General features: G+C 41.4%; 1 protein-coding gene and 1 long non-coding RNA gene across 2 annotated transcripts in view, besides 1 other annotated feature; one reads left to right on the top strand and one right to left on the bottom strand.

Moving 5' to 3' along the window:
• The window catches only part of QPCT (glutaminyl-peptide cyclotransferase), a 28,693-nt gene extending 10,785 nt beyond the window's left edge, over positions 1-17,908 (bottom strand). The window contains exons 1-3 of the mRNA NM_012413.4: positions 17,687-17,908; positions 9,603-9,749; positions 2,680-2,958 (exon numbers count right to left, since the gene is read on the bottom strand). Of these exons, the coding sequence (NP_036545.1) occupies positions 2,680-2,958; positions 9,603-9,749; positions 17,687-17,806 (546 nt within the window). The 5' untranslated portion in view covers positions 17,807-17,908. The remainder of the gene's footprint in view (positions 1-2,679; positions 2,959-9,602; positions 9,750-17,686) is intronic.
• Positions 17,478-17,537: a silencer, noted in NCBI's record as "silent region_11357". NCBI's record gives its function as "represses an Ori minimal core promoter by ATAC-STARR-seq in GM12878 lymphoblastoid cells {active_cell/tissue: GM12878}" and the evidence as "EXISTENCE:reporter gene assay evidence [ECO:0000049][PMID:35858748]".
• On the top strand, positions 17,483-23,122 carry LOC124907754 (uncharacterized). The gene is made up of 2 exons (XR_007086284.1): positions 17,483-18,811; positions 21,811-23,122. It is a non-coding gene; the product is annotated as an uncharacterized LOC124907754 (long non-coding RNA).
• Positions 23,123-24,386: the final 1,264 nt, after the last annotated feature.

Below are 24,386 nucleotides of genomic sequence, written 5' to 3'. Positions count from 1 at the left end.
AACTTAATTTTGTACGCTAATCATTTCATATTGCTCCTTAATTATACCATGAGGAAAGGACAGTGTAATTTGATTTGAATCCTCCATAACTCCTGGAGAGCATTAAGCAGAGGATGTGTTTGTGCAATATAAATGCACTCAGGGTTTAATAAGCATTAAATAATTAAACAGATTTTCTCGTTGGCAAAAATTGTAAGGTGCTTGCTTCAGTAGAGACATTCTAAGCTTCCAGTTGTTTAAAGGGCCTTGAAAGTTCTAGCTTCAAATCAGACAACATAATCGCAGAACAAGAGGGCAGAACGGGACCGGTTGGGACAAGAGGCATTCTGCTCATGCCCAGGGCATAGGCAAACGGAAATAGTTTTTATCTCTTGCAGGCTTGACAGTTCAAGTACCTCAGTGAAACTTCAACAGCTGGGAGACTCCAATGATCAGTACAACGATTTGCTTTCATTCTGTTCGCCTAATATCCATTCATTTAGCCAGCAATAAACTGTTGTGGACATTCATCCTGAGTCCCATGAGGCAACCTGCTCTTTTTGCTTCATTTCAGGAATGGCAGAAAAATAGCCATGGCCTTCGTTACTAGTAACTCAGCCTAGTACCTTGGAGCTAGGAGAATCTGACTGGCCTGATGTATGAAGGTCTTCATGGTAACACTACAAATGCCTAATTACCAGCGTTCACACAGTCTGGGTTATCTGCAGTCCTTCCCCATTCAAGGCTGTATCAGTTAGCTAATGTTGCAATAATAGAATAGAATAACACCCCATCAACACAGTGGCTTAAAATACCATTATGTATCTTCTTGGGATACATAACCTCTGCTGGTCAGCTAGGGAGCAGCTGATCTAGAATGGGTTTGGCTGGGGCAGCTCTGCTTCACTGTGCAGTCAGCAAGGTTGGTTCTGCTCCAGGTGTCTCATCCTTCTGCTGGGACTGGCAGGCTAGCCAGGGCATGCCATTCTCATGGTTATGGCAAAGACACGGAAGAGCAAGCCCAATGGCACAAGCACACTTCCAGCCCCTGTTTGTGTCACCTCTACTAACATCCCATTGGCTAAGGCAAGTCAAATAATGAAGTCCAGAGTGAAGGGATGAGGAAGTACAACTGGCTACAGTGGGAGGGCACAGCAAAGTTACCAGGCAAAGGATGTGGATGTGTAATGACAGTCCTATTACTGGAGAGAAGTGGAGCTATGAAGAGTTGCGAATAATCCAGTCTACTTATCAAGCACTCTTTCAGGTCACTTTCCACCACCGTCTACCCAATCCATGACAGCTGAAGAACTTAACTTCTCAATACCAATTTAGTTAAAACATATAACTGGAAGAATAAATCTGATACTCTCAAAGTCTGCATTCAAAAACAGCCTCTTAAAAAAAATCCCCCACCTCACCATTTATCTCTAACAGAAAGGATTACTATGAGAATATATATGTTGATTCAAATTTTTTTAATGATGACCCCAATCCAATAACTCATTCAGACCTTTCTATTAATATTTCTGGTCACCAAAAGCAGATATGAGCTATATGGGAAAAAGCAAAGGAGTTCACTCAGAGAAAATACATCCATTACACAGAACAATGTCTTCAAGTCATACTTCATTTTGTGTCCTTATACTAGAAGTGCAAATATGAAAAATTAGACTTTTGCATCAGCTTTTGAACTCCTTCATCCAATTGCTGGGGAAGGAAACTAGTTAAAAGCAGGGCAAAGCATGGGACAAAGGGATTGTAGAAGGCTCAGAAAACAAAACAAACCAAAAAAAAGAAGTGAAAAGGAGACTGAGAGGGTATAAACAAGTCTTGCTTTCTTCAATTTCAGCATATCCAGCAAAAATAGAACCAAATATCTCTACTACTTCCATTACAAGATAAACTTTTTACTTCTTTACCCCCACTGTATCAAAGGCTGGACCCTTCATAAAGCTCTGAGCGGGGAACAAAGCATTTGTTGCCTGAGAACAAAGTTTTTTGTTTTTGCTTTGTTGTGTTTACTTGGTTATGAGTGATATCAGAACAAAATATCTTCATCTAGTTTAGCACTTTTTTCCAATATACCCTTAAGAACACCAAGACTGAAATAACATCTGAGAGTCCCAGAAGTATTTTGAGCTGAGAGCATAACAAAAGCTCTGCTATGCTACATAAAATGGAGCTGAGATTCACAGATAATAACAATAATGCATTTCTGCTTCATGCTTTTCATCTTGATAGGTCTGAATTACCCACTCTCCACTTCAGAACCACTTTGCTGCAACTCCCTCCTCCAACCCAAGAGCCACCATCTCTCAGATCAGAAGGTTGTGATGTTTCATGGCCATAGAAAGAAGAAGAAATAAACATAGTTCATTATAAAACACAATTCTCATACTATACCTGAAACAAACTTCCTCCTTCATTTTTCACAAAGAAATGTTGCATTTAATTTAATGTGCATTCAAGGCTGATAAATCAGGTGCCAATTAATGAATGCATTGTCACGTATCTTAGGTTTATTGCCCATGGTTGATATTCCCAATCATGCAATCTTACAATTAATGTTCATAATAAAAATGTACCAAAAGTCTCCATTTCTAAATGGCCTTCTCATTCCTCCAAGGATTCTAGAATTCACTCTGAGTTACTGTTAATGTACTTTATCCTAGGAATCAATAAGCAGAAAACAGATACCTTTAAGGAAAGGAGTTTCTTGTCTAAGGCACGAGCAAGTTCCAACATCATTGCACATGGCACGGCTGAATCAGTGGCTCCTACAAACACTCTGTTGTTCCAGTGGGAAAAATACTTGGAGTCATAGTGGCAGGCGAGGACCAAATGTCGTTTAGCAGTGGGATTGAGGGTGCTGATGATATTTGAGAAAGACCGGTACCCATAGGGTGTCTGACTCAAGAAGGTGTCTATTTCCAAGACCCAGTCAGCCTGAAGCCTCTGAATTCGCTGCATGATGTGCTGATCAAAACAAAAAAACAAAAAATTTAGATCTAAAGAAATGGCTTTCATTTGTTAACTGTGATTCTGAAATTTTAAGTAGTGCCTTTCAAATTAAAATTGGAATACACACTTAATGAATTCATAGCAATATTATTGCAATTAATAATTGCTTTGTATTGTTATTGTAATTAATAGCATTTGTCCTGTTTAAAGGAGAAGCTAATCCTCTTGCCTCTCCCTTAAACTTCCCCTTACTAATCAATCTCAACCAATTGTTAATATTAACCAGTGTTAATAGTTTGATGCAGATCTTTCGACATATCTTCTCCTTGCTTATGCAAACCTACAGTAGCATACAAACACATATATTTGGCAGAGGGGCATATGTTTTTGTAGGAAAAGAATCCTACTTTTTATATTACTCTCCCCTTGCTTTTCTCCTTTAACAATATATTATGGACATGTCTACAAGTCAGGAGACAGAGATGCAGTTCGGTAATAGTAACGTACACTTTTAATATTTCTAGGAGGCTACAAAGGCATATTTAAAAAATTAAGTAAACCAGCAACCTACAGGTCTCTATCTCTAAGCTCTTCAAGGACAAGAACTGCAAATGGTAGCTCTTTCTGTCCCAAGTGCATAACATGTGTCCAAGTCCAGCAAATGCTTTACATGTAATGAACACTAATAAAAGATACAGATGCTCACCTGCTAAGGATAACGTAGAAAGCTCCCATAGCTAGGGGGTGGTTCAGGTTATTTCAGACCTCCGCTCACTGTAAGAATTAATAAGCAACCCTGAACCATAATAACATATCAAGCAGCTTTCCCTCTGCACCCAAGGCAGGTTGAGACGCACTGCAAATGCTGGCAAATATAAAAGAGAATCTCTTTCCCCATCTCTGCTGGCCACCTTGAGCCTTATAAGGCAACACAGTGACTGACAGAAGAAAGCAACAGGTGCAGAAAGTAGCATCACTTCAGGAACTAGAAGTATTTTTTTAAAGAACATATTATAGACTTCACGATGTGAGAAGTTATAGGTGAGTTCATTGCTGATTCATTTGCCTTTTCCCATCCCTATTTTATCTTGGCTTCACTTTCCTATGTTCCTTGGTTTTTTGTTTGTTTGTTTGTTTTGTTTTGTTTTGTTTTGTTGTTTAACAGGGCTTCACTCAGTCACCCAGGCTGAAGTGCAATGGTGCAATCTCAGCTCACTGCAACCTCCGCCTCCTCGGTTCAAGCAATTCTCCTGCCTCAACATCCTGAGTAGCTGGAATAACAGACACATGCCACCATGCCTGACTAACTTTTGTGGGTTTTTTTGTTTTGTTTTTTTGGTTTTTTGTAGAGATGGAGTTTTGCCATATTGCCGGGGCTGGTCTCAAACTCCTGGGCTCAAGTGATCCATCCGCCTCGGCCTCCCAAAGAGCTGGCATTACAGGTGTGAACCACCATGCCCAGGCTGTTTCTTTTTTTTTTTTTTTTCAAGTATCATATACATCATTGTAAATTGCCTTAAATTATTTTTATAAAAAGTCAAACGACAAACTAACATCAAAATAACTGACAATTTGTCCTTCAATTAACATCTAACCAAAAACCAACATTTCAGATCTAACAGTTCAGATCTAGACAGTTTAGATCTGGGATGGACCTTAAAATGAAAAATGAATAACTGGAAATGAATGTGAGGGCTTTTATTTTTTTTTTCCTCCTAAGAAATACAGGATTTTCTATCCTAGCCAAGTCCCATGTGGCCTGTGCTCACTAATGCGACATGACACGTAGGCAAGAGACTCAAAACAACTGCGGCAGGAAGCTTCCAAGGAAAGGGGAATTTAAATAGTGGGAGGACACTGATCCTACAGTCGGTCCTGCAAAAGCCAACTAAACAAATGATTCCCCAGCTAGAGACTCCTTGCTTTTTATAGTGGGTGGACTTTGTCCTAAATAGCATTGTGCATGCAGTACCTTAACTTTTCTATTGCAAATTTACATGCTGTCTTATCACATCATCAAAAGAAATGTTTATAACCTTTTTTGAAATCAGCATTCATAACTCTCCACAATTTGTAGTACTGTGCTTTGCTCACAGTAGGCTATCAGTAAATATGGGTTCATTCTAACAGTAAATATGAATTGATTTAATGAGAATATATAAAACTATACGATACAAAGCATTAATAGTTTGAATAGAGAGAAATCACTATGCACCTAACATGAGTTTTTCTGCAGACTATGAAAATGAGTTATCCCTAGACTGTAAAAAAAAAAAAAATTCCACAAAATGGGTCATTTAAAAAAAAAAAAAGCATATACTCCAGAACATCTGGTATCCAGATGATAAAATGCTCCATAAAATGGCTTCTTCAACACCAATTGCAGATTGCAAGCTCACAAAATGAATTGGAATTTTAAAAAATATATCTGTTAGCAATACTCAGAAGTCACACACAAACTTATTTCTCAACTTGTTACTAGGTCTTGATCATAATTTCTGATGACCTTGTTGACACTAAAATCCATAAGAGAATCAGCATATATCCTCAAAAGAGTTTTTCCTGAAGCAACTTTTTTTTTTTTTTTTTGAGACGGAGTCTCACTCTGTCGCCAGGCTGGAGTGCAGTGGCACAATCTTGGCTCACTGCAACCTCCAACTCCCTGGTTCAAGCAAATTCTCCTGCCTTAGCCTCCCGAAAAGCTGGGACCACAGGCACATGCCACCACGCCTAGCTAATTTTTGTATTTTTGGTAGAGACAAAGTTTCACCATGTTGGCCGGGATGGTCTCGATCTCCTGACCTTGTGATCTGCCTGCCTCAGCCTCCCAAAGTGCTGGGAATACAGGCATGAGCCACCGCACCCAGCCCCGCAACTTTTTTGTTCAGTGTAACTATTTTTTGTTTATCTTAGCAGCTAAGATAAATCGTCTTTATAAACGATCAAATTGGCTGCATAATCTAATTAGTTCACCAATATCCCTTGTTTTGTTTTTGGCTTTCAGACTTAGTCTACAAGTCCCCACCAGAAGTCTCTAGGGGAACTCCCCAAACGACCACTACTATCATTCAAATACCCGTAAGCAGGGAGTGCGTGGCTGTGGCAGGGACTCTAAAGCAGCTGCCTTCCCCAATACCAAAGCAGCAAAGGGCTGGACCCTCCAGGAGTGCCGAAAGGCAATTTAGAATATAGATCACACTTTGGGTTGCTATACATCTATGTTTTAAAATGGAGAGGAGAGAAAAAGGGAGAAAGAGAAAAAGTGAGAGAGATGGAGATAGGGATAAAGCAGAGATAGATGGAGACTGAGTAGAGAAAGAAAAAAAATACAAAGATGAAGACATGAGCACGAGAGAGAGGCTGTTACAAGATAGTCTACTTCCAAAGAGTGGTAGGGGGATTTATTCTAGGTTAACACTAGTGAATGATCCTGGGTTTCATTTAATTAAACATAAATTCTAGTTTCCAGGTTCTGAGAAACAATGACATCAGTAGACCAGATTTGCTTGGAGGAAGCCGATTTTCCAGTATTTGTGTTAAGTCTGCAAACACATCGTCGTCAGGATGCGGACATCTGCCACCTGAAGACTCGGGTACCTCTTTACTCTTGAGTGCACCATATATGAGTCCCTCGGGCTCCTCCTCTTAGGGGGCTGGACTGAGGGTGCACCTGGGATCTATGTACCTGATGACATTCAGTTTCGGTGGCTCAGATGCACTGTGCACCTGTGGGGGATTTTACCCCCTGAAGTTTCTAGTTTGCCTCTTTTAGACAAAGGATATTGCTTGCCCATTTGTGAGACTTTATCATCCTAATTTTTTAATTTTTTTATTTCTATCTTATAAATCAATGAAATAGCCCCAAATGTATTATCTTCAAATTATTTGTTTTACAAATAACTTATCTCCTCAAAATAAAAATATCCTAATAATCCAATAGGCAGCTTTGGGGTCATTGATCAGAGACCAGGAAAACGCATAATGTGGGACAGGGTTCCCCCAAAATATTCTCTTTCTGTAAAAGAGAACCCATAGTAATGCACATCTTTACTGGTAACTACAAAAGTTAATTCACAAACCAATTTTATATCAAGTTTACCCTTTTTTAATATTTGAGGATCTTCTCTAGTTACAACCTTGAAACTCTAAATTATAAAACATCTCATCTAGTGTTCAAAAAGGCCTCAGGAGAAAAAAAAAAGGTTCAATCATTTTTGTTTCAATTCAGTTCTACATGAAAGGATCTAATCTTAGTCAAATTAAGGCCATTAGTGTAGTTCCCTCATAATTACTCTGTCATGTACCTCACTTTCAAAATGAGAATTCCTTTGTCTTCCACAGCTTAGAAGATAGGTCTCTAAAAATTAATGGTAATTTTCTTCTCAAAAAATTCTAAAATGGAATCTAAGTGAGATATCTAACATAGCCATCAGCCAGCCCATGCATAGGCAGCCCAGCAGTAGTTCCCAACACATTCTAAAATACTGTCCATAAATATCTCATTTGCCTCCACCCCCATATGATAGTGGAGAATGTTACTGAAACTTCAGTAACACTTTTAAATGAATATGTATCTTTTTAACTACAACAATATCTATGTATATTATTTATCCTATATACTGTATTCTGTTGAAGCTAAAGATCAACTAGCAAAGTTTATTGTGTTCATGGATTTCCAGAGCCTGCAGGCAAAGAACCTCAGGCCTGAAGTATGCATATCATTTCTGGTTATATACAGCGCTCTGGGCAAATGGTATGGGAAAAAAAAAAGGTTGAGTTGAATGGGAAGAGTAAGCATCACAGACCTAGATTTTTTTCTAACAAGGAACTGAGGCTTTTGGAAAATGCCAATTAAATGCCCTGGCCTTCTTTTAAGAAAATGCTTGAGAGATAAGGCCCAGGGAATGTTGTTAAAGTGAATGGTATGTGCCTCACTCTCCAACTTGGGCTTGAGAAGATCGAGAGCTGGAGACATTTGAGTGCACGAAGCAGAGCTGATTCCTCCCAGCTCTCCAGTGACAGGATAGAGATCTCAAGTGGATTCTGGCCTCAACAATGGTACAAGTATAACCTTGAGCAAGTTAATTCATATACCTCAACCTCAGATCTTTTTAAATTCCTAATATTGAGATAATAATAGCATCCACACACTGTTCTGAAGGCTGAATGAGATGATCTATGCAAAGAACTCAGTAAAGTGCCTGACCCAGAAAAACTGCTCAGTGAAAGTCAGCCATCATTGCTATTATTCTTCACTCTGCCTAAAGGTTAGACAGAACTAAGGTGCCTGCAGGGTGTCTACCGTCTAATTCCTTGGGAGAAGCCAGAGCTATTCAGATGGAAGACAAAAGGCTAATGGGGACACAGACATATGGATATCTAGGCTAGCCTGAGAGGCAGAGGCTGTACACTGGGCAGAAAGGAAGAGCTCAGCCGGACGCGGTGGCTCACGCCTGTAATCCCAGCACTTCGGGAGGCCGAGGCGGGCGGATCACGAGGTCAGGAGATAAGAGACCATCCTGGCCAACGTGGTGAAACCCTGTCTCTACTAAAAATACAAAAATTAGCCGGGCATGGTGGCGTGCGCCTGTAGTCCCAGCTACTTGGGAGGCTGAGGCAGGAGAATAGTGTGAACCCAGGAGGTGGAGGTTGCAGGGAACCGAGATCGCGCCACTGCACTCCAGCCTGGGTGACAGAGCGAGACTCTGAAATCGAAAGGAAGAGCTCAAGAGCTGGGCACCTGCGCCTTGCAGTTCTCAATCTAGGCACAGCAGTGGGTGCCAAGGTCTTTTGCCTGAGGAGTTTCAGAAGAGGATGTGAAGGGCCAGTCCCATTCCTTCCCAAGCGGCCCCTTAAAATGGGGCTAGTTTGAAAAAAACAGATATTCAGAGGTGAGGTTTCAGATTGCTTAGGAAGACTGACATCAGGGAGGCAAAGAGGCATTCAAGGTCTGGCCCAGCTTGTTCTACCCTCCACAACAGTGGTAAAATCAATGGGTCTTGAAATCAGTTTAGTGGGTTATGACCAGCATTTTTTAAGAACCAATAAAATAGAACTGACCATATTGCAGTAAAATGCTGTAAGAATATTTTTCGTGGAAGTTTTGTTTCAGTTAAATATGCCAGTACGTTTGTGTGTATAAAATGTAAAATTCATTTTTTTTTTACTTTGTGTCAGAGTCAGAAGTTTGAGAAGCACTGCCCTGGAGAAATGCGGCTAGCTTATCACCAGCCTTAACTCTCCCTCCAGGGAAAATACAATTTCCCTAAGGCGAGTGATGGCCTGACAGTACAATGATACTCTTGACTTAGAACCTTCAAGCAAGGACTCCCTAAGCCTGTTGCTGTTCATTGTTTAGGATTCAAGAAAACTTAATTGGGAGCCTCGGGGTGTGCTATTGAATGGTCAAGAGTGAAGGACTGTGTAATGTTGTACCCCAAATAGAGATTTCACACATAAACTATTGACATTAACATGTACCACTTAATTCAGAACAGACATGTACTCTCAGTCATTTGATTTTTCTTGGTTGACTATTTGGTGAATGAGGAGATGACAGATCTGAATATTAGACACCTCAGAACTTCAGCCATAACATTATCCCTCATGAGAAAGCACAGTATTCACACAAGCTTGAGGTTTGTGTCCCATGTTCTCACCTGACGAGCAGCATAGCTTCCAGGGGATCCCGGGTATCGCTCTATCAGCAATGGCTGTAAGTCATTTTGCCACATTTCAGAGATACTGGTGCCTTCTGCAATTTGCCGAAGAGCCGATGAATTCAAAATGGCTGGCTGGTGGTAATTCTGAGGATTGAATGAAATCATTTAACTAGCTATCCTTTCATAACATGTTTAAGACTCTGACATGTTTTCAATTAATTGCTTAAAACTTCAAAATAAGGGAGAACTTTATGTCAAATGAGGTAAATTAAACTACTCAACTTTAAAATTGGGCTGTTAGGGCTGGGCACGGTGGCTCAAGCCTGTAATCCCAGCACTTTGGGAGGCTGAGGCAAGAGGACTGCTTGAGCCCAGGAATTTGAGACCAGCCCTGGCAACATAATGAGACCTTATCTCTACAAAAAATGAAAAAATTAGATGGGCGTGGTGACGCATTGGTGCATGCCCGTTGTTCTAGCTACTTAGGAGGCTGAGGTGGGAGGATTGCTTGAGCCCAGGAGGTCAAGGTTGCAGTGAGCTGTGTTACTGAGCCCTCCAGCTGGGCAACAGAAGGAGACCCTGTCTCAGTAAAAATTTTAAAAATAATTAAAAAACCCAACTGTTAGCCTAAGTAAATCTTACACAGTATAGAGGGAGAGTAGTCAGGGAAGACTTTATAGATGAGCCACAAATTAAGGGGTCCTCGAATTTTAATAGGATTTTAATAGCAAGCCTAATTCAAAATTTTATAATGATTACATGTTGAAATGGTAATTTTTTGACATATTAGGTTAAATGAAGTATATTATTAAAATTAATTTTACCCCTTTTTCACTTTTTTAATGTAGCTACTAGAAAAATTAAAATTACATATGTTTCTTTCATAATCTTTTTTTTTTTTTTGAAGTTGGGGTTTCTCTCTGTCACCCAGGCTGGAGTGCAGTGGTGCAATCTGGCTCACTGCAACCTCCACCTCCCGGGCTCAAGCAATCCTCCCACCTCAGTCTCCTGAGTAGCTGAGTCATTATTTCTTTTTTATTATTATTATTTTAGATGGAGTTTCACTCTTGTTGCCCAGGCTGGAGTACAATGGCATGATCTTGGCTCACTGCAACCTCTGCCTCCCGGGTTCAAGCAATTCTCCTGTCTCAGCCTCCCGAGTAGCTGGGATTACAGGTGCATGCCACCATGCCCAGCTAATTTTTGTATTTTTAGTAGAGACGGGGTTTCATCATATTGGTCAGGCTGGTCTCAAACTCCCAACCTCAGGTGATCCACCCACCTCGGCCTCCCAAAGTGCTGGGATTACAGGCATGAGCCACCGCACCCAGCCCTGAGTCATTATTTCTATTAGACAGTGCCAACTCAGATGATTGTTGCAATTCCTTTCAGCCTGAGCTTGGTGAATCTATAGCCAACTAAATAGTAGACTTTTTAACTTCAATTAAAATTATTTTTAAATTGCATTAAAGTTCACATAACATTCAAATTTGTATTTTGGATGACTTCACACATACTGTATATTCTTATGATACTGGTAATGATGAACCATTCATTCATTACATGTTTATCAGGCACCTAATAATGGAATGTGTTACTCCTCCTCAACAGGAAGAGAACAATTGATCAGATGACTTCTTCCCTAAGGGGAAGGATGAGGATGACATAAGAATATTGAATTATTTGGAAGGCAAAACAGAAATTAGGAGAGGCCTATTTTATAGTTCCTTTCAGGACCAGTGTTAGCTGGATACGCTTAAATAGTCATGCAACTATTTTCATTCCATGTGATCGACTCCATGGGACTGGTGTGAAACTGGACTTCAAAGAATGCTTATTGCCTAATTATTTACACTCATCTATACTCCGAGATGGCTGTTTACTTTCCAGTACTTACCATGCAAAGAGCATGGGCTATAGGATCAGACAGACCCTCTCAACTCAGCCTCTCAACTCAGCACCCCACCACCTACTAGCTGTAAATCTTTCCAGGTTACTAAACCTCATTAAGGCTCAATTTCCTCATCTGTAAAACAGAGGTAGTAATACCTGAATCCTAGGGTAAATAGAATTAAGTGAACTAACATATGTAAACTGCCATAGTAAATATTCAATGTGTTAGTTACTATTTCCTTCTATCAAACACTAAAGAGCCATAGAATGAATTTTAAAGTTGGAAAAGCCACTTAGAGATGCTCTAGTCTCCAACCTCCTTCATTTATATTAGTGGAAACTGAGATTCATAGAAACCAGCTGACTTCCTGAGGTTGAAGGAGAGTTACAGGTAAATCCACAAAAAGATCCGCTGTCTGGGGATTTCCAATCCCATGCTAGTTTTACTCTGCCTCACTGTCTCATTTATGCACTTCCAGTTTATTCCTGAATATTGGTGCTGTGCCTGAACATCAGAAGATTTGTCTTTGTTTATTGGTAGGACATTTTTAAATATATTTCCTTGATAAACTTGTCAGTGCAGGCTTTAAATCCCTTGGTACCTCCAGGATCTAAGTCCTCATGCCAGCTCCCAAACAACAGTTGGAAAAGAAAGCTGAAGCTGAAAGACAAAGCAATAGAAATGTGCGAAGGGATAAGAAGAATATGGAGGCAAGAGGTCAGAAGACTTCCATGGTTAATTATTACTCAACCCTGCCAACAGAAGCCTGTCTGGTCTCCCCCCTCACCCTTGCTCACCATGCTTCGGTCACTCTGGCATTTGGCCAGGCCCCAAATGCTCTGAGGTTCTGCCCCCATGAGGCTTTGGCATCTGCGGTGCTTTCTGCCTTACAAGCTGTTTCCCCTCCTCTTCACCTGGCTAACTCCTGCTCACTTCAGCTTGCAGCTTGGAGGCCACTTCTTTGTGTGTTTACTTGTTTAATGTCTGTCTTTCATACAAGACATCAGCTCCATAAGGGCTGGAACTCCCTCTCTCTCTGTTGTTTACCTCTCTCTCCCACACAGGCCACACAGGGCCTGGTTCATCTTGAGCATTTGATAAATATTGGGGAAATTAATCAAAAAAGCAATCAACAGATGAACTATCTTTCTAAAATTATCTTTGCTAAGACTGTATTTATATAATAATAAAGTAACATGGGCATTTTTCTGCCACTGTAAATAATAAATCAGCTGAATGCACAAGCAAGCATAAAGACAGAAGAGACAGGTGGCTACCTGCTGCAATGGCCAGGAAGTGCTGTGGTTCAATGTTATTGGGCTTTGCTCTTTTTGAATTTCTGACATTCGATGCTTCTGACGATGAAGAGCTGGGTTGACCCAAGCAGTCACTATGACAACCAAAACTGTTGTGTCAAAAGCTGTTTACCAGTGGCTCCTTGTCTGCTTACTGTCCAATACTCTATCCCAAAGCCCATCTGGTCACTGTGGATAGAAGCTTTCACTCCATGTCCAGAGTGAAACGAAATCACTTGTGTTTAAATGGCTGGTTTCTAGAGGCTTGAAAGAGCTCTTAAGACATTTAAGAAAAAACAGGAACAAAATAAATGCCCCCTCCCCCAAGCATCTTTAACTACAAGAGATACTGCAGATGAAACCTAATTGGCAAATAGCACCAAAAAATGCTTAATGGATGACTAAAGGGTAAATCCAGCAGACAGGCCAGGCCTATTGATGCTTATGAATCTAGAGACTTACATGTGTTTGCTCCTCAACCTCCTGGGCTCAACCATTTAATTAACATACTTCAGTAAAGAGCCCTGACTCTCCTTGCCCCTCTGGGGGCAAAGATGCCCCTGTAAAATCCCAGAGCTAAAAGCTTCCCAGTAACTGAAGGACAGAGAAGAGGAAACAACCAACTACACTCAGTCAACTACTTAAGCCTTCTATTCATTAAAGCCCTGTGTGGAAAAGCATTTGACTTTCCCAACCTAAATAGCATGCATTCAATGTTTGAGGGGTCTTATTCTCAGAACTCAATAGATATACAAATTTAGGTGGAGATGAGATGAATGAGTAAGAGGAAAAAGCTGGAAAGAAAGAGCGAGCTCAGCAGGGGGAAAGTAACTCAGGCAAAAACAAAGTTGAGCCCAATGGTAAATGCAAACCCCAATTTATTGTAGGTTTATCTCAGTTAAAAGACACTTAGACAATTTTCTATTGGTGCAGGTGTTCTCAGAGGAATGAGGCTCTGTTACAGCCCCTGCCTTGTCTTTTCATCCAGACAGAAAGGACAATAAGTCTGCTCTGAGTGCAAGAATCTTTCAGCCAAAAGTGTGAACCAGATATCCTGAAGCATCTCTTCTAGGCTAATCATGTGGTTTTAAAGAGGGTTTTAATTACATAATTGATAGAGTTGGCCCAGCTTGCAAAGGGTTTTGAGGTTCCAAAAGACTGAATTAAAGGGAGATCATTACAGAAATGCAGCCAATGCAAGTCCAGTTTCTATTCTATATGAATGTCTCCCGGGCAATTCTCAGATTAACACCTCTGTCTGTCTGCAAAGTCAGCTCAATCAGCAGTTACTGAACTCCTTCTGTGTGTCGGATGCCACTGATATAAAAAATTCAGTGGGGGAATAGTTAGGAACTGAACAAGACAACATCTGTCTTTTCTAAAATGCAAGCAGCCCTCTACTTAAAAGCAGAGCCGTGCGGGCTTTAACCACAACAGCTTAGGGTGAAATCTCAGCTCCCTCGCTTATTAGCTGTGACTAGGAAAGAGTCCATATCTGTAAAATGGATCTCATGATACTTACCAACTAGATGGTAAGGCTCCAAAATGACATTTTGTCTTTCTGTCCCTACCAACACCCAGCCCCCAACTAACTTCCACGTCACTGCCTGAGAGTCTCCGTCGTTGCTTCCATTAGAATGCAACAACAACAATAACACACACACACACACACACACACACGCGTGCGCGCGCAGAGAGAGAGAGATAGAAATAAAAACACCAAAATGGTTAATAGCCATTATCTCTGAATAGTGGGGTTATGGGTGACATTAGTTTTCTTTTTAGTGTATTTTTCTGTATTTTCCAAGTTTTCTAAAATGAGCACATGTCAACTTTATAATTAGAAGACTTCAATAGAAGGCAGACTTTTTAGTTTATCGAAACTAATATTTTTAAAGAGCATATAAAGCCCTCAAAAGCCATCAGTCATTCGCACCTAAGGAAGAATGATTTAATGAGATTCTGTTTAATAGCTAGTTGACAATGTTGTACTAAAGGAATGGGCCTGTACTAAAGGAATAAGACTGGTGACCAAAAGGCCTGGGGAAGATTCAGAAGAAGTAACTCTGGAATATGGATTAGCACCCAGACTAATGATGACCTTTAAGCTGCATGAAGGAGATCAAGGAAAGGAGAAAATAGGGGGTGTCAGAAGAGAAGGTACCAAAACCAAACTACCTGTTTTAGAATGCCATTTAGGGTCCACCCTGACCCAGAAAGAGAGAGTAAGCTCTTCATCTGGCCCTCCAACTTCCCTGCTAGCCCCACACTTTTTCACTACCTGGGCACTGTTCCGGGTACATCAGCCAGGACTCATCTACCATTAGAAAAGCACAGAAGAAGAAAGGAGAGATCAGGGCTTAAGCCAAACCCTAGCTCTTCAGTTCACTAGTGCAATAGTTGTCAAGTTTCCTCAACCATAAATTGAGGATGAATGTACCTTCCTCATGGGGCTTGCTGTGAAGTTCAAGTGAGGTGGATGTATATATATATATGTTATATATATATATATGTTATATATATATGTTATATATATGTTATATATATATGTTATATATATATGTTATATATATATATGTTATATATATATATATATATAAAACACCCCATACCCAGATGCCAATGCCTCTAAATACACAGGTGTGTGCCCACCTGGGAGTTTAACAATTTATAATATTGTTACTATGGAAAAATTGTTTCCAGGTTTCAAATACATAATCAAATCATGGCCTCTGAATGCCACCATAAACTACAGTTGATCTGCTTTTACATATTCAAAGCCACTGAAAGAGAAACATCTTTATTTCAAAACGAAGGAAATGGATTTCAAAATCAATGCTTTCTTTACCACACCTCACCTGTTAGCAGACCAGTGTACCAAAGACATACATCATATGATTAAAATAGTCGAACACCATAAAAAGTAGGAAGGCACATATTTTAGTGTGGACCGATTCATCACCCAGGCTGCAAGACTTTATGAAGGTCTACAGAATAAGGGGAGGAAGCTAGAAACTGGGAAATGTGATGGCTGATTGTCATTTGCTTTTAATGATTTGAAAACATTCAGTTTCTCAATGGAACAGTGATCAGAAGCTTCTTAAAATAAATATAAAAGGGATTCATGCTTTAAAAGACGTTTCTCAAAAGTTAAATTCTCATTGGTTTAAAATATTTTAAGAATCACAGCACCTTTTCCCACCCATAAATACCCCCTGCCTACACACACCTACAAATGATCTTTTCAGAGTGGTTTGTTCAGTTTCCATCTCATTTATTCCCTTCCATTTAGATGTATCACAAAGATACATTTGGTGTGGCTCCATATTCCAGTCTGTAATGTTCTCTTCCCAATTTCTGACCAGAAGGGTATTCTCAGTGAAGAGAAGGAGAGGATTTTTTGTGTGTCATTCCACGTTCTTCTTCATGGGCCCCCATGGGAAGTTGTTTTCCTTAAAATAAAGTTATTCTTATGTTACAGACTTCCCTCACTACCACCAGGTTCCCTGTGGCCTGTGGTCTCCATGTGTAAGTGGGGCCTGCTGTGACCCCTGAGTGGTGATTACATTAGATCCGAAGAATTGAAATGGGCTATTCATATATATATGCATGTAGCTGGGTGGGAGTGGGCATTTACCAGCGTGCCCTGTATTTCAAACATTTGAGTAAATACAGGCATACTCTAAGTGTGTAAAAGGTCTGCTCAATAACACTGCCAAAGTTTATATCGCTTCACTTTGCTGCTTTTCTTAATATCTCTATAACATACTATTTTATGCTGACATCATTAATATTTGCACAATCCCTTAGCAATTTCATGATTTCAAAACTGTTACACAAGAAAAGGAAGTAATTGTGAACCCATGTAATTGTGAACCCATATACTTCTTTTTTTTTTTTTTTTTTTTGAGACGGAGTCTCGCTGTGTCGCCCAGGTTGGAGCGCAGTGGCGCGATCTCGGCTTACTGCAAGCTCCGCCCCCCGGGTTCACGCCATTCTCCTGCCTCAGCCTCCCGAGTAGCTGGGATTACAGGTGCGTGCCACCACGCCCGGCTGATTTTTTGTATTTTTTAGTAGAGACAGGGTTTCACCATGTTAGCCCTGATGGTCTCGATCTCCTGACCTCGTGATCCACCCGCCTCGGCCTCCCAAAGTGCTGGGATTACAGGCGTGAGCCACCCCGCCCGGCCGAACCCATACACTTCTTACAGAGGGAACTTGCAAATCACTTTTATCCTAAGTTCCTTATATGCGATTTCTACCTACAACTAGATCCATTTTCTCTGAAAATAGCAGGTACCCTCTTTTAAGTGGAGGAAAAAGGCTTTTGAAGTAAGCAGGTCTCCAGTAAAGGTCCTTCCTGCCGAGTTGCTCCTTTTAAAAATCTAAAACAAACAACACACATCCGTCCTGAGACTGTAGGGACACTTCAGCGCCCCAGCAGCATCCTTGGATGAAGCAGCGGGGGGGCTGTGGGCACACCCCCAGGCGCACCCCGCACCCTAGCGGCCCCGGAGCGCCGGCCCCGTTGCCCTCCAGGGTCCCGAGTGGGGGGTGGCGCCGCGATGCGCCCTCGCCTCCCGGCTCAGCAGCCGCCGGCGAGACACATTTCCTGTGCCTATCAGCACCCCCATCAGACCGCAGCCCAGGAGAGGCCAGTGACATCACCCAGCCCCCCTGGCGTCTCCAGAACAGCCCCGGACTGGCCGAGGCACCCCGGCGAGTATGCAGAGCCCCGACTCCTCCGGGCGCCGGGTGGGGCGCCGGTGCCTGGGCTGGGGACCGTGGCCCTGCCCCGCCTCCCGCTCTGCCTAGGTAGGGCTGACCCGGCCAGGGGTCCTCGCATCGGACCAGAGCCGCTCAAGTACAACTACGCAGAAACAGCCCCTCACCTTCTCCTCTGGCCAGGCTGAGGCACTCGGACTGACCCCCCTGGATGCCCAGGGCAGGGCGGCCACCAGCAGCAGCAGGTGGAGGGTGCCCACGACGCGCCGGTGTCTTCCGCCTGCCATCTCTCCGAGTCTGTCTGGGAGCGGGTTCCCCGGGCCGCTGGCGGTCACGAGCCCGGGAACGCGCGTCCTTCGCCTTCCCTCTTCTCCACCCTTGGGTCGACTGCGCCCGCCTTCCCATCGCCCCCGGGTAGCCTCCCGCCGCGTCGCGCAGGCTGCAGCCCTCCTACCCCGGACCTTCGCAAACCCCGGGGCTGGGCGGCCCTGGGTGACAGACACAAGCTTCTGAACCCAAGCTAACAAAGGCGGCCACTTCCTTCTCTTGGAGAAGATGAAAGGAAGGAAGCAAGAGACATGGAAGAGCCTTTTTATGATCTCCAATGCCAAAACAGGGAACAGAAAAGGGAGGAAGGGTTCACCAGACCCTGGGGAGTTATGAAGTGTTTCCCACAGCTCCTAAAGAAGGGGTGGACAGGGAATCGACGTCTGCTGAACACGGCACCAGGCACCGTCCTAGGTGCTTGTCCAACCTTCCCGGATTTAATCCACTAATCCCATTTTACAGACGGGGAGACTGAGACACCCCCCCACCCCCCATAGAAAGCCTGGACTGGAACCCACAAGCAAAAGTATGACAGTGGATCTTTGCCTTTTCTCTTTTTTCTCACAAATAGTTGCCTTGCCTCACATCATACTCTCAAATTGAAAAGGATGGTCAAAGTAATTATCTGAAATAATGAGATCTACAATATTCACAGCGGCTCTGAAGGAGTCATCTTCTCCAAGGCATGGCCCCAAAAGGAAAAGCCAAACACAATTCTATTTACTTTGTAACATCAAAGGTCATTGTTATCCAGATAATCCTAGGGCAGGAAAACATTTCAGTTTTGTCTGTAGGTTTCTGGTCCAAGTTGTCAGGACAGTGACTTTCACCAGCCTCTTTTGCTTCCACAGTGAGGATCAGGGCTTGGCCTGCTCTGAGTCATCTCCCAGTAACATCTAGTTCCCAGAAAAATCAGAACAAGGATACTGAAGCAGAACCATTTCACAGAGAGCAAAGATTTGAAGGTAAGGAAGCTGCCAGAAGGCCCACCCACTCACTCTGTCTTCCCAGCCTTGGCTATGAGTTTTTAAAGAGAGGGCTTGCCTGGAAATACACTGTTCTGCCCTCCTCTGGAGCTGTAGGAGAAGACAGGATGTAAATAACTCCTTTCCTGGTGTACAGATTTGCTAACCCTATTCATGTCTGAGAGTTTTGAGTGACAATTTAAATCTCCAGGCTTAAATAAAATTAAATACACCTTTATTAAACCCACAGACAGTTCTGATCATCGGACCCCCTTCAGAACTTTCTACTGGCTCCAGTTTCAGAACTAAACCACTGTCACATTCCCCAATACAGCTCCTCTCTTGCTGCCTGGGTCAACCTTGAAATAGTGCATTTCCTGAGTGGCTGGGTAATAAAGAGCCTATTTGCTTTTTTTTACCCTATTACCTTTATGTCTTTTCACAATATGGTTCCTATAAGAAAGAGAACGTGGAAATAGCAAACCTAAATGAAACAAAATGTGAGAGGTACTATCATGCTAAGTATGAGCAATTCAAAACAAGAAATATAGAAATAAGCTAAAATGTCAGCACATAACGTAATGATGATTTTGTTTCCTAAGTTTCTCCAATTTTGGTTATATTTAAGTCAATAAGATGTTCTTACAGTTTGGTATCTACAGGAAGCAGACTCTGAGACAAGAGTTTAACATGCAGGATGTGTATTAGGGAGTGCCCTTGGGACAAACCCCTGTGGGAGGAAGAAGGGGAACAGGAGAGAACAGAGGGAGAAGTTAGCAGCAAAGCGGGCCCAACAACCTCACCCAACTCCATGGGAGTCCTGAAGCTGAAAAAGACGGTCAAAGTTGTCCCATACTGGGCCAAAATGTCTGGGGCCTTATCTCTGCACCTCCATGGAGTGATTTCCTGCAAGCGGCTTTCCAGCCAAAAGAGCTTGACTGCTAGAGGCTGTGGGCCAGCCGGCCTCCAACAGCTGGAGCAGGGTCCTTCCCTGGGGGCAGATCTGGGCAGCGCATCTCCTGTATCCACCACAAACGTATTGTATCTGGTACAAATCTAAAACATTCCACATAGCTAGTGAGACTGATTTCAATACATTGGTTTTTTTTTTACATGTAAGCTTTTCTGCCAACTTTCCAAGAATCTACAAATCCAACACCACTATGTATGTATCACTTCATTCCTTATGCATATCTTTTCTAGTGTCTTACACACTAAATACCCTTTTCCTTTCCTTCGCTCATTCTTTTCTCTCTTCCTTCATTTGGGAAACGTTTAGAAATACCTTATATCTGCTATTTTTGCCCTACTTCAACTTTTCCTTTCTTCAAACTCTTCCCATGGAAGATAACTAATGACTTTTCCATTTTAATTAAAGTTTCAGACCCTGTTTTTCATCATGGAAAAAATGTGTTGTATATACAGTGATAACACTGTTCTCAAGTGGAGAAATTTTTACCTCCATTATAGTATAGATTCCATACTGTGATGTGAAGGAAATGAAGGACCCAATTGCCAAAACAGATCTTCTCCATGAAGCTGCCATGGCAGGATGTTCCTACACCCAGTCCCACCTTTAAAGTGGCGCCATTAGATCAAAGTAGTAATGACCAGAAGGTTCTATTAAAACAATAGTTTTCAAAAGTGTGGTCCATGGATACTGGGGATTCCCCAAGACCCTCTTGGCTGTCTCCAAAGTCAAATCAACTTTTATAATAATACCAAAACAAGATTCATTTTTTCTACTGTATAGACTTTGCACTGATGTTGCAAAAGCAATGATGGGTAAAAATGCTGGCACCTTAGCAACTGTCAATACAGGACACAAAACTGTACTATTGAGGAGGAAAATCTATACTTGTAGTCATTGTGTTTTTCTTTCTTTCTTTCTTTTTGGAAGGAGTTTCACTCTTATTTCCCAGGCTAGAGTGCCATGGTGCCATCTCGGCTCACTACAACCTCTGCCTCCCAGGTTCAAGCGATTCTCCTATCTCAGCCTCCTGAGGAGATGGGATTACAGGCATGCACCACCATACCCTGCTAATTTTTGTATTTTTAGTAGAGACAGGGTTTCACCATGTTGGTCAGACTGGTCTCGAACTCCTGACCTCAGGTGATCTACCTGCCTCGGCCTCCCAAAGTGCTGGGATTGCAGACGTAAGCCACCATACCCAGCCATCTTAGTATTTTTCACTGCCACGCATAAAGAAAAAAAAAAAGAAGAGGACGATAAAAGAAAAGAAAAAGAGCCAGTTTCACTTAAGAATGTCATTGATGAAGTAATAAAATTGTTGTTTTACTGCCTTCTGAAGCTGTCTCTCCATGAAGCTAGATTTTAAATCTAGCAGGACAGAGTACAGGAGGAGAGAGAGCTCCTCACGTCTGCGTTTTCATCTCATGGAGACCACCAGCTCTGTGTGGACTCCTCCTACCTGCACTGCATCCTGGAAACTCTCAAAGCAGTAAGCTGGAGAAAACATCAGGCTCATCTCATTTCATTTTCCCTTTTCTCACCACTTTCCTGTGATACCTCTTTTCCAATATTTAAGCATCATTTTAAAAATTTTTATACACTTAGAGAGTACAGGAGCAGTTTTGGTACATGGATATACTGCATAGTGGACAAGTCTGGGCTTTTAGTGTAAGCATCACCTGAAAACATAGTATACATTTACCCATCAGGTAATTTCTCATCCCTCCTACCCTCCCACCCTTCCAAGTCTCCAATGTCTATTATTCAGCTCTTCATGTCATTGTGTACACATTATTTAGCTTCCACTTATAAGTGAGAACATGTGCTAGTTGAGCTGTTTCACTAAAGATAATGGCCTCCAGTTCCATCCATGTTGTTACAAAAGACAAAATTTTGTTATTTTTAATTGCTGGTAGTATTCCAGGGTGTGTGTGTGTGTGTGCGTGTGTGTGTGTGTGTGTGTGTGTGTGTGTGTGACGTTTTCTTTATCCAATCCATTGTGAATGTCATTTTTAATATATTTTAGGTGGGATGACAAATCCAGTTCCATCTTAACTGGAAGCACAAATTGAGAGTATGCAGCTCTTTATACTCACATGGGAAAATAAGACGTAGAAATCAAACACTTCTGCTGCACACCAAAGGGCAATTGTCTCAAAGAAAAGCATTTGTACCGTTGTTTCAGAAGTATAGTGGGCCGCAGTGGCTCACATCTGTAATCCCAACATTTTGGGAGGACAAAGCAGGTGGATCACTTGAGGTTAGGAGTTCAAGACCAGCCTGGCCAACAGGATAAAACCCCCATCTCTACTAAAAATACAAAAATTAGCTGGGAATGGTGGCAGGTGCCTGTAGTCACAGCTACTCCAGAGACTGAGGAAGGAGAATCACTTGAACCTGGGAAACAGAGTTTGCAGTGAGCAGAGATCACACCACTGCACTCCAGCCTGTGTGACAGAGAGAGACAGTCTCAAAAAAAGAAAAAGAGAGAGAGAGAGAAGCATAGTGAACTTGCTACTTTTTTCATGAAATTCCAATTTAATTGAAAGAACAATGACTGATAAATTATGATTATTCAGACTTGGATATTTGGCAGACATTTGAAGATGAATAAAGTGCGCCTATCCCTTGAAGGAAAATAACTGACACTGTTTGTTGCCAGTGATAAAACTGGATCTTTGCAGTAAAAATTGGAATTTTGGATAACTTGTATCTGCTACCATAAGCTTGATAGTTTCCTGATATGCAACAACTTTTATGACAAAATTGGTGATTTTAACAAATGTGATTATTTATTATATATAATGAAATGCTCAACATTTGGAATATCTGCATAACTCAGTGAAGCAATATTTTCCAAATGTTCAATTCATCATGTTACAAAGTCACAAAGAAAAGTTCCACTCAAAGTATAAGAGACACCCAGTGGATTTTAATGTAATGGAATAAAAACATGTATTTAGAAGCAGATTTTAAGTTGTACCTTTTATGACACTATCATTTGTTATGTTTTGATTTAATAATGAAGGAGATTATCCACAGTTATCTGAAGAGGCTATTAAAATACTCTTCCTTTTTCCTACTACATGTCCGTGTGGGGTCAAATTTTCTTCATGTACTTCAGCCAAAATAATATATCACAACAGGTGGAATGCATAAGCAAATATGGGAATCCAGTTGTCATCTAAAAAGTCAGAAATTAAAGAGATTTTTTTAAATGCCAATCTTCTCACTAAACTCTTTTTACTTTGGAAAATGTATTTTTTCATAAAACATGTGTCTTTAGATGCAATGACTTTATTCTTTTAAAATAAATCCATAATTAAGTATTTGTAAAATGCCTGTTCTAATTTTCAATACAATAAATATTGATAGACATGGTCCACATAAATGAAAGCTATTTGTGGTCCTCAATTACTGTTACTAATGCAAGGAGTTCTGAGACCAAAACATTAGAGAATCACTATGTTAAAACCATTCTACTTGAGAGAGACAGATGATAATACATTAAACCAATGCTTACAACTGTAGCTACACATGGAAATTATCTAGAAAGCCTTTTTTAGAAAATGGTGATGTCTGACTTCCACCCCCAGAGATTCTGATATGATTAGCCTGGTGTGTGGTCTGGGCGTCAGATCGCTTAAAAGCTCCCCAGGTGATTCTAACGTGCAGCCACGGCTGAGAATCATTGCATGAAGTCACACACTTTGAGAAATACATCAGCAAAAATCATATAATCAGATTAACTATAACATTAATAGTCATGTTGCATTGTAGTTATTTCATAAGGCCCTGAGGATAATAGCAAAAAAGATTGGGAAAGTGGCCCAGCCTTAGACAAATTATGAAGTAGGCAGCTTAAATTCAAACCCCCCAACTTTCTGGCCCCATGCAAGTCTAGTACTGAAGCACCCTGCCTTTTGTTCCTTTAATAGTCACAGAATGTAAAGAGTCCTACATTATATTCTTGTTTGAATCTGTCCGCCACCTCTTTCGATAGCAGAGTGAAAAATTAAAATATTTGCCTCTGCAGTCCAGTGTCAGATTTTTAGTGTTCCTTAGAAATCTCAGGAATCCAGATTTCCTGTAAATATTCCCAACTTCTTTCACCAGATCAGAGGTCGGGTGAAGGTGGCAATAAAAGCTAGGAGAAAAAAAACGTTCCTCTTCTTTGGTTTTCTGGCCTTCTCACTTCCCAGTCCTATTAAATAACATGCGCTGTCCTCTCGAAGAAGGACAGAGGAACAGTCCCCATAAACCCTGATTCCTTTCACAAACACTAATTATGCCCCTCAAACAAAATTCCTTTTATCCATTTAATAATTTATCATACTTTTGATCAGTTTTTCTCTGAGAGCTCTGAAAACCAAAAGTGTTCAAGGTCCAAAGAAATGAATCTCTAGTAAGAAATTTCAGTGCACTCAAGGAGATGAGAAGTAGAATCAAAGATGAAGAGAGTGGAGGTCACCTGGTGACCGTCAAGCCAGCCATCCAGAGGAAAAAACTCCTCGTCTGAGGAATTTAGAAGTAATTAGACTTCCCTGTTATCTAAAGCGGGCATCTGGTTCCAGGCTTCTTTCTCAAAAATTTATAAGTAAC

Source organism: Homo sapiens, chromosome 2 (genome assembly GCF_000001405.40).
Source record: "Homo sapiens chromosome 2, GRCh38.p14 Primary Assembly".
NCBI classification, from domain to species: Eukaryota; Metazoa; Chordata; class Mammalia; order Primates; family Hominidae; genus Homo; species Homo sapiens.
The sequence above is the reverse complement of the archived record's forward strand: the minus strand, read 5'-3'. Positions and strand labels throughout refer to the sequence as shown.